The following is a 10,792-nucleotide window of genomic DNA, read 5'->3' on the forward strand; positions in this document are numbered from 1 at the left end:
ACAAAAAAAAAGAAAAATTAGCCGGGCGTGGTGGCAGGCGCCTGTAGTCACAGCTAGTCGGGAGGCTGAGGCAGGAGAATGGCGTGAACCTGGTAGGTGGAGCTTGCAGTGAGCCGAGATCGCGCCACTGCACTCCAGCCTGGGTGACAGAGCAAGACTGTCTCAGAAAATAAATAAATAAATAAATAAATTGGAGTCAGTGTGTACTATTGGTCAAAGAAGCTGTGTAACCAAAACTGGGTTCTTCTGTAGTAGCCTGTCACCTATATAGGAAGAACAAAAGAAAACTCCCAGAATGGGGAAGATGTCTAAGTCTCAGCTGATTTGGGGACTAGATTTATTTATCATGCTGAAATGACTTTCTCCTTCCATCTGCCTCCTCTCAATTCTCTCTCAGGCTGTTATAGATGCAAATATCTTCCCTGTGTTGATCGAAATCCTTCAGAAAGCAGAGTTTCGTACAAGGAAAGAGGCAGCCTGGGCCATCACCAATGCCACATCAGGAGGAACCCCTGAGCAGATCAGGTATTACATTCCTTTCCCGTTGTCTTGAATGATAATGGATGCTCTCCCTGTTTGCTCATGGTTTACAGGTGACCTATAAACTGCTCTTGCTCAGACAGGTCTGCCCCCTAGTCTCACTGTAATAGAATTTTACTGGTAAACTGCTACAGTGTCACTAGAATCTGGAATAGATTCCATGTAAGCCATGTGGGAATCTATTCCAGATTCCAGTGACACTATAACAGTTTACCAGTTTTCCCTTCTGGAGAAGAGAAACATGACATGGACATCCATCCTTTCTCTACCTTTTCTTATCCAACAGAGAACTGAAATCTATGTAGTTCTCAATTCAAATGAAGGGGAACCGTACTATGGGTTACTCAAAACAGTTTCTTCAGCCTGACCAACATAAGAAGACTCTGTCTCTACGAAAGACAAAAATTAGCCGGGCGTGGTGGCATGTGCCTATAGTCCCAGCTGAGATGGGAGGATGGCTTGAGCCTGGAAGGTCAAGGCTGCAGTGAGCTGTGATTGTACCACTGCACTCCAGCCTGAGTGACAGAGCCAGAGTCTGTCACAAAAAAAAAAAAAAACAAAAAAAAACAAGCAAGCTGGTGTAGTGGCTCATGTCTGTTATCCCAGCACCTTGGGAAGCTGAAGCAGGAGGATCCTTTAAACCCAGGAGTTCAAGACTAGCCTGGGCAACATAGGGACTTTGTCTCATGTGTACAAAAATGTAAAAATTAGCAGGTTGTAGTGGCGTGTGCCCGTGGCCACAGCTACTCAGTAGGCTGAAGCAGGAGGATCACCTGAGCCCAGGAGGTCACAGTTGTAATAAGCTGTGATTGTGCCACTACACTCCAGCATTTGCTACAGAGCAAGGTCCTGTCTCAAACAAAAAAGCAGCTTCTTTGAGAAATTAATTTGGGATATGAGACTTGAAAGAAGCGAATAGAAAGCTATTTTGTGTATGTGTGCTCTTTTTGAGACCGCAACCTCTGCCTCCCAGGTTCAAGCGATTCTTCTGCTTTAGCCTCCTGAGTAGCTGGGGTTACAGGCACGTGCCACCACGCCCGGCTAATTTTTTGTACTTTTAGTAGAAACGGGGTTTCACCATGTTAGCAGGCTGGTCTTGAACTCCTGATGTCAGATGATCCTCCCACCTTGGCCTCCCAGAGTGCTGGGATTATAGGCATGAGCCACCTGGCCTGTGTACTCTTTTATTTTAGTTTACATTATCTGAACATTAGTGGAAAGTGGTGGGAATAGTTAAGTGTTTTGCCCTTCACTTGTTGCCTATTAAGGGGAGCACAGTTAGTATATATAAAGTCTTAGGAGAAAAGAGATAGCTGTTGAGTTAAGCTTTGAAGGATAAATATGGGATTGTAAAAGGCCTCTTAGACAGGGAAAAGCATAAATAAAGGTACAGGAATCAGAAACCTGGAGACCTTTACAAGTGTGACTAGAATGTATTGTCCTTGGAAGGGAATAATGGGAGGCAGAGCTAGAAAGGAACTAGGAGCCAGATTGCAGAGCATCCAGGCTGGGCTGGGCTTGTGGTATTATGGTATTGTTGTGCCATAGAATTTGGAGTTCAGCGAATTAGGGAGCCTGTGAAAAATTTTATGCAGGGAAGTAATGTGTTCAGAGGGGTAATATTGCAGCCAAGGAGACATTAGAGGCAAGGAGGAGGAGTGTTTGGTAGCATCCACATGTGAAATGAACTAGACCAACCACATGTGAAATGAACTAGAACAATATCAACAGGAAGGTAGAGAGATAGAGAAAGGATAAGCGGTTATCAAGGCTCAGTAAGAGCAGTGGCTCACACCTGTAATCCCAGCACTTTGGGGAGGTCAAGGTGGGAGGATCGCTTGAGACCAGGAATTTGAGACCAGCCTGGACAACATAATGAGACTTTGTCTCTACAAAAAATAAAAAATAAATTAGCTGAGAATGGTGGCACACACCTGTAGTCCCAGCTGTTTGGGAGGCTGAGGCAGGAGGATCACTTGAGCCCAGGAGGCTGCAGTGAGCTGGGATCGCACCAGTGCACCCCAGCCTGGGTGACAGAGCAAGACCCTGTCTCAAAAAAAAAAAAAGGACTTGGTTGGGGAACACTCTCATTCTCTGGCATGGAATGGGGTGTTGCACAATTCTTTTTTCTTTTCTTTTCTTTTTTTTTTTTTGAGACGGAGTCTCACTCTGTCGCCCAGGCTGGAGTGCAGTGGCGTAATCTCGGCTCACTGCAAGCTCTGCCTCCTAGGTTCACACCATTCTCCTGCCTCAGCCTCCCGAGTAGCTGGGACTACAGGTGCCCGCCACCACACCTGGCCAATTTTTTTTTTTTTTTTGTATTTTTTTTTAGTAGAGACGGGGTTTCACCATGTTAGCCAGGATGGTCGCGATCTCTTGACATTGTGATCCGCCCACCTCAGCCTCCCAAAGTGCTGGGATCACAGGTGTGAACCACCGCGCTCGGCCTCACAATTCTTAAAAATAAAAAAATAAATTAGTAAGAGTGGGTTGCTGAGAGTTCAGAGCACCTGCCCAGCACTTCATGTGTCCTGTACTAGTTTAGCACTTGCCTGGTCTCTGGCCCCTAGGTACCTGGTCTCACTGGGCTGCATCAAACCCCTATGTGACTTGCTGACTGTAATGGATTCGAAGATTGTGCAAGTGGCCCTCAATGGACTGGAGAACATCCTGCGGCTTGGAGAGCAAGAGGGCAAGCGCAGTGGCTCAGGGGTCAATCCTTATTGTGGCCTCATAGAGGAAGCCTATGGTATGTGCCCTCTCCTCAATCTAGGTCAGAACCTGAGACTGTAGGCCTCCAACGTGGTATACATATGTTGGTGGTGGCGGAGTGTGGGTTGGGAAGCATCCATAGCTTCCATGAGACTGATGTCTGTGTCTTCAGAACAGTTAAGAGCTCCTGCCCTAGCCAAGTTTCACCATCCACAGGGTTTCACACGTTACCATGAGTATAATCAGGATGTGCTGAGTAGCTGGGGTACAGCTAGGATTTGGATTTGGCTCATCTTTTGAGTTGAGAGTTGTCTCTCACCAGTTTCTTCTCCTTCTAAGGAGTGATAGGTCAGTTCTCTTTCTGATAGGCTGTACCTATAAGAGTGCTGGATTAACTCATCACTCATCCCTGAGAGGCTGATGATGTGCCCAGGTCATGCTTCTAGTTTAAAGCAGAATCAGGACTAGAACCTCTGTAACTGACATTTTGGTCTCTTTCCTTTGGGATTCTGTAGTTTTGAGAAGAAATCTTAACTCTCCCCTTTCAGGTCCAAGAGTGATCTGATCATATGACTTGTGTTTGTAAGCACTAACATACCTCAGGGAAGGAAAAATAGGTAAATGTTTCACCTGCCCATAGAAAAGCACTCACACTTCCCTCTCCTTCCTTCTTACTACTGTAGGCTTGGATAAAATTGAGTTTCTCCAGAGCCACGAGAACCAGGAGATCTACCAGAAGGCCTTCGACCTCATTGAGCACTACTTTGGTGTAGAAGACGATGATAGCAGCCTGGCTCCCCAAGTCGATGAAACGCAACAGCAGTTCATCTTCCAGCAGCCTGAGGCCCCCATGGAGGGCTTCCAGCTATAATATCTGCCTCCAGGGAGGGGAGGGGATGGGAAGCACCACCAGCCAGCGGAAGAGCAGCCCTCTGGTGGGCGGGAAACCAGTGTCCCCACCATCAGCCACCACACACCTCTGCTGCCCTGGAGACTGTGCTCTTGACCTGCTCCGCCCCCTTCCCTGGAGGGAGCACCCTCTGGACAGACAGAACCATCTGAGGCTCACCTTTGGGTTTTGTGACAAGAAGGGGACGTGTTGGGTTTTTCTTCCTTACACTATATTTTGGCTGCACACATGTCTTTAACCCAGGAGCCCAGGGGTAGACAAAGGAGGACTAAGGTAATCAATTTGCACCTTTTTTTATTTTTATTTTTTTTCTTTTTTTCTTCAGTGGTGACTTCCTTCCCTTTATCTTTTTTCATTCTTCCCGGTCCTCTGCCCTGATCTGTGTAACTCTTATCTTGGGTACTTGAGCAGACGGTATATTCCAGAGGTGGGAGGTGGGAGGGGAAGGGAGAAATCCAAAACAAAGTGTTCTTGCTCTGACAGAATATTAATCTTGTACGCTTGGATTGAGTTATTTAATTTTTTTTTCTTTTGCACATTTTTCTTGTATTAAGATTGCTCTTCCCAAGAGCCACAAGTTCCTGGTTTTAGTAAACCCAGCTGCCTGCATTGCCTGGGACTAGAGGCTGGGGAGGCTACCATGAAACAAAGGTCCCTCCCTCCCTCTGACTCTTTGCCCAGACCTCTTTAGTTTGGGGGATCCTCCTCACTCTCCTGAAGTGTCTCAAGTATACCAGTGGGAGTGCAGGGGAGGAGCACAGGCCTTCAGATGGGGCTTCCCACGTGTAGCTACTGATCCCATATTTCCTACTCACCTTCCAAATGGTGCGACCCAACTTCATTTGTTTACTTGAAAATTCCCCCTCGAGGTTGAGAGAACCTCTGAGGTGGCTGTATTTTCTCCTAAGCTTGAGATAGGGGGCTGTGGTCCTTCCTTTCTCCTGAGGAGAAAGTCCTTGCTCTGGTGACCTGTAAGTTGCAGAGGAGGGTGGAGTGAGAGTGTCATGTATTGGGATAGTCAGGGATCCCTGCCTTTGGCCTTTCTTCTTCTTCTTCTTCCTCTTCCATAGTTGGATCATGTATATTTTACTTCTAAAGGAGAGAATGTCAAAAAGTTCTGTATTTTTTTATATTCTATATATTAGGTAGGTCAATCTTAATTGGTCTCAAGAGGAAGAACTGTCTGTCATTTCGGTAAGTAGGATACTGTGAGGAAGACCAAAAAGAGATATGGATGCTTCCTCGCTCAGGAGGCCTGAGCTTGGTCCTTTTCCTCTCTGCTTGGATTCTGGACCACCACCTGGGACCAACCTTCAGCTCTGGAACCTTCATAAAGCAGGTCAGCGTGGCCTGATTGTCCCAGGACCTGAAGGGAGCAAGGATGGCCTCAGGGCCTGGTGAAGTCTGCTACTCTGTCCTTACTGCTGAACATCCTGCTTGTATCAGGAAACTCAGAAGCAGTTTGCCTTGTCAAATTCAATCTCAATGGCCATTGTCCACATAACTGATCACCCATGGCTGCCTCTCCTATTATCTATTATCACTGAAACTTAGTAGCCTGCTTTTTTTTTTTTTTTTTTTAGAGCTATTGCGTATCTTCCCTGTTTGGGATCCTTGTACCTGGTTTGGGTTTTCCCTTCCTTGTGACAATTATAATCCAGATGCCTCTTCTTTCTGTTTGAATTACGGTAGTGCATTGCCTTAGTGGCTTGCCTGTGCCTCTGGGTGGATTACATATGATAGTAAAGCCCACCTGTTTGGATGGGAGTAGAGGAAGTTGGTGTAGACCAGCTGTGGAGCTGAAGGCACAGTCTGCCCCACCCCCACCTCCCCACTGTGGTTAGTCAGAGGCATCCTGCTCCAAGCTCTGCTTTTCCTTCCTCTGAAACAATGCCATTCTTGCTTCTATTGCTACACATCTCCTTCTGGCTCAGGTGAAATCCATGCCCTTCTGCTTATAGACCTAAAGTTCAGGTACTTATTATTGGCCATTGATCTTGAATTTGCCCTCTCCTAGTGCTGCAGTCCCACTTCAAAGCCATTTTCTGAGGAGGATGGTTTAGGTCTGGCAATTGTCCTTGAAAAATCCCACCCATGTTGTACCACCTTGGTGAGTCATATGCCACTCATCAGCTTGGGAATGATGGCTGCCAACTCCCAATCTCCCAGGAAGGCAGGGGGCAGAATCTTTTTTTCACTTGGCCTGCTACCTCCATTAAAAAACCATTCTCTTACAGTTTAAAAAAAAAAAAAAAAAAAAAGCCTTCCCCTACCCAACCTCCGCCCATTGTTCTCTTCCAAAGGGCAATTTAGTAGGATCTACTTTGTACATCTCAAGTAAGAGTTAAGTCCCTGATACAGGGACCAGTTTCTTAGTGTAAGACATACACATCCTGCTTGTCCAGCTGTTCCTCCAAAATCTACTTTGGCTTCAGCTCCGGGTCCTGTACCAGATGGAAAATGTTTTTGGTGATCTGGCTGCTGCTTAAAGCCAGTTTTCCCTAAGAACTCCAAAGGCTAAAGTCTACTAGGGGCAGAGTGTGAGGATAGATTTCTAATCAGAGAAAAGTGGCCTCCAGGAGCTTTCATTTATGTCTTCTCCAGACCAGGTTTTCCTGTTATCTTCCTTTAATCCCCTTTCAACCAACAGGTGAAGTTCTTCCAGCCCACAGAGGTAGTAATATCATCTTTTCTATCTCCTCCTCTCCTTTGGCCATGTAATGAAGCAAAATATTATTTATTTAGCCCAGGCTTGAGAGCCACTGTTTGTGGACAGTCTTCATCTAGATTCCATACCCTGGCCTAGGCGAGGTAAGGCTCTCTGGTTATTGCCAGGATGGAGCCCCTCTACCCCAGTCTGCTGTAGGGAATACCCTAATTAGTTGAGGCATGCTTTTGGAATCCTGGCATGTTGGCATATGGCTGGTCTATCCTTTTTAAGATCTCTGGTTGGGGGTATCTGGATATGGATTAGGAGGGACAAGGAGCCTTTTTCTTGGCTAATGTTTTCCAATACTTTTTTGAATGGTGCCAGCCCCTCCAGGCATCCCACCCCCAAATCATCATCTTTAGTACTAACAGGGTGTCTGGTCTTAGAAGCCTCCCTTCAGATCCCAGCTGACCCTGGTGACTGCCTGGCCTTGATGTTGGCTGCAGCCTTCTGATAGAACCACATGGATTCCACCCACAGCTGGCCAGGCTTGTTACATGGGTCAGGGAATACAAATGGCCCCCCCCCAGGGAGCAGGTGTTGGCCTCAGTTTTCAGGGACCCTTGGTGTTGCTCCTTACCTAGAGCCCATTAATCTACCCCATCAACTCTCTGCCATGAAAGCCATCTTCCAGGAGCCCTGTTTTTTGGAGCTGAACTGCACAGATTATAGCTGCTATTGTACTTAAATAAGGGAGAGGAAAAGAAGGTTCTCAGGCACAGACTTTCTATTTTTCTCAAGCCAAACCAGTTTAAAATGTCTAGCAGAATGAACTGTATTTCCATTTCTTCATGTCTACCTGCCTTCCCCCCACACCCTAAAGTTGTACTTGTTTCTAGCAAACTAGAAGGAAAAGATAGGAAAGCCTGGCACTACTAACCTCACCTCTCATACACCTCTTTGAAGGCCCCAGCTCTTTTGTTCAGGCCTCTCTTCTCCCCTAGACTCACTCAGCTTGGTATCCATCATCTTGAGCATTCTTCAGTAGATTCATCTAGGGTTCAGATTCCAGACTCTCAGCTGAAGACAGGGAGCCAATTTCCCCCAGGTCCCTGCAGGTAATCCAGGGACCCCATAGGGAGAACAGGCTGACTGGGGCATTAGGAATGTTTGTACCTCTCTGCTTCCCTGGCAGCCTGGGGAAGGGTGCAGGGCTCAGTGCGCTAAACCATGGTAAACATCTTCAATAGAACTACCCTAGAATTTAGTGAGTGTGAGACTGAGATATTGCTCAGAATAAATTTATTCCATAGCCATTTAGGATTGCATGTTCTGGACCAACCTTGTCCAGTATGTTTTCTGTTTGAGCTTTTTCATTCTTTTGTTAAGCCAACAAGTTGAGAATTTGGCCCTGCTGGGATCCATGTAGTGGGCACTAGCTGCTCTTTGGCCAAGGCCTTCATAAATGATTCAGTCTCTCATTATCTGTCCTCTAGCCCCACACCCTGATTTAGACCGTGGCAAAGGAAGAACTTGAGGTCAAGACCAACCAAATCTGTGAATTAAAGCTGTTATTTTTTTCTCTGCAAGGGCGCTTTGCTTCAGGTCTGGGCTATGTGCAGAACCTAAGCAGGCTGTGAGAGTTAGAAGAGGCAGTATTACATGTTAGGCCCAGAACACCATGGGAAAAGGTTTATGTAGTGTATCTTAGTGGCCTGCCTAGCTGCCTCTGGGCCAGGCTGACTTCTGATGTCCACATTAGCTCGTACCTGAACCCTGTTGCTGAATGCCAGCCCTGTTCTCCTGTAACTATTATATACGCCATGGCCTGGGGGGCATTGAAGGAAGTAAGCTCTCAGAGATCCTAACACTGGCTGGGAACCTCTGACTCAGAGCATGTCTTTAAAGAGTCCACATCTGGCCAGGCGCGGTGGCACATGCCTGTAATCCCAGCACTTTGGGAGGCCGAGGCGGGTGGATCACGAGGTCAGGAGTTTGAGACCAGCCTGGCAACATAGTGAAACCCCATCTCTAATAAAAATACAAAAAATTAGCTGGGCGTGGTGGCAGGCGCCTGTAATCCCAGCTACTTGGGAGGCTGAGACAGGAGAATCACTTGAACCCAGGAGGCGGAGGTTGCAGTGAGCCAAGATCATGCCACTGCACTCCAGCTTGGGTGACAGTGCGAGACTCCATCTCAAAAAAAAAAAAAAAAAAAAAATCCACATCTTCAGCTGGGCGCGGTGGCTCATGCCTGTAATCCTAGCACTTTGGGAGGCTGAGGCGGGCAGATCACTTGAGGTTAGGGGTTCAAAACCAGCCTGACCAACATAGTAAAACCCCGTCCCTACAAAAATAAAAAAATAAAAAAAATAAGCCAGGTGTGGTGGTGGGCACCTGTGATCTCAGCTACGTGGGAGGCTGAGGCAGGAGAATCTCTTGAACCTAGGAGGCAGAGGTTGCAGTGAGCCAAGATTGTGCCAGCCTGGGCGACAGGGTGAGGCTCTTGTCTCAAAAAAAAAAGTCCACATCTTCATGAACCCTCAGACTCTGGAGTTGGGTGTCGGCTTTTTTAGCCAGCTTTTGTGGGAATTGCCTTTGACCTATTAAAGAAGGAAAGTGGGTAATGGAGTCCCAGCCACTCAAGAGACTGGATATCCCCCGAGAATGGCTTGGGTTACCAGCTATGGACCCTTGGAAGATGAATCTAATCCTTCTCACTGGTTTTTCTTTGCAAATTCATTTGCTTTTATTTTTCTAATAACAATAAACTCTATTTTCCATGTTCTCAGGGCCCCTGGGTAGACAGACACAGCTTGATTTCAGAGCAGACATAGGCGAAGAAAACATGGCATTGAGTGTGCTGAGTCCAGACAAATGTTATTTATATACACATCCAAATTTGAAGAGAAAATGTATTTCTTTAGGTTTCAAACACTGTAATAGATATAAAGCAAAAATAAAAACCTGTTGCAAAGTTCTAAATTGTCTTCTTTGGCTTGGAGTGACCCTAGACTGGATTTGGGGGAAGAGAATGAGGAGGTGTTTAAATTTGTAGCTTAACAGTGGAAATAAGAGTTGTACCAACCTGCACCTGCTCTAAAGTTTTTTTCATCGACTTTATTGAAATATAATTGACATACAATAAACTGTACATATTTAAAGTATATACACGTTGATAAATTGAAACACATATGCACCCATAAAACAACCACAAGATAGTGAATATATCTATGACCTTCATAAGCCGTAAGCTTCCCGCTTGAGAATCCCTCCTTTCTGCCCCACCTCCAGCAACCACTGATCTGTGGCTGTCACTGTAGTTTAGTTTGCATTTTCTAGAGTTTCTCTAAATGATTTTGACTTAGTTTCATCAGCACCACTCTACAGCCCTTTGAACCTTTTTTTTTTTTTTGAAACGGAGTTTTTTATTCTTGGCATCCAGGCTGGAGTACAATGGCGTGATCTCGGTTCACTGCAACCTCTGCCTCCTGGGTTCAAGCGATTCTCCTGCCTCAGCCTCCCAAATAGCTGGGATTACAGGTGCCCGCCACCACGCCCAGCTAATTTTTGTATTTTTAGTAGAGACGGGGTTTCACGTTGGCCAGGCTGGTCTTGAACTCTTGACCTCAGGTGATCCGCCTGCCTCCGCCTCCCAAAGTGCTGGGATTACAGGCATGAGCCATCGTGCCCAGCCTGAACCTCTTAAGATCAAATAGTTCACAGACTCCTCCCTTCAGTTTAGATAATTCCTAAAGCAGAGATTACAGACAAGCAGCCAGAAAGTTGATTGAACCCACAGGAAGGTTTTGCTTGGCAGAGCGTGTTTAAGTTTGAATTAGTTGCCAACATTTTTTTTTTAAATCAAATGTCTGTCTTGAAAAAGACTGTCCTGAAGTCTCCATTTTTAAAAAGAGGCCAAGCACTGTGGCTCATGCCTGTAATCCCAACCCTTTGGGAGGCCAAGGTAGGAGGATCAC

At 46.2% G+C, this 10,792-nt stretch overlaps 1 protein-coding gene across 5 annotated transcripts in view; it reads left to right on the forward strand.

Annotated features, from left to right (window-relative positions):
• KPNA6 (karyopherin subunit alpha 6) overlaps nt 1-9,792 on the forward strand; it is a 68,508-nt gene extending 58,716 nt beyond the window's left edge. For all 5 annotated transcript variants that reach the window (XM_024446165.2, NM_012316.5, XM_024446166.2 and 2 more), the window contains 3 exons: nt 398-525; nt 3,111-3,289; nt 3,936-9,792. In XM_024446165.2, the coding sequence (XP_024301933.1) occupies nt 398-525; nt 3,111-3,289; nt 3,936-4,123 (495 nt within the window). In that variant the 3' untranslated portion in view covers nt 4,124-9,792. The remainder of the gene's footprint in view (nt 1-397; nt 526-3,110; nt 3,290-3,935) is intronic.
• The last annotated feature ends 1,000 nt before the right edge of the window (nt 9,793-10,792 follow it).

The sequence above is a fragment of the Homo sapiens genome, chromosome 1 (assembly GCF_000001405.40).
Source record: "Homo sapiens chromosome 1, GRCh38.p14 Primary Assembly".
In the NCBI taxonomy this organism is placed as follows: Eukaryota; Metazoa; Chordata; class Mammalia; order Primates; family Hominidae; genus Homo; species Homo sapiens.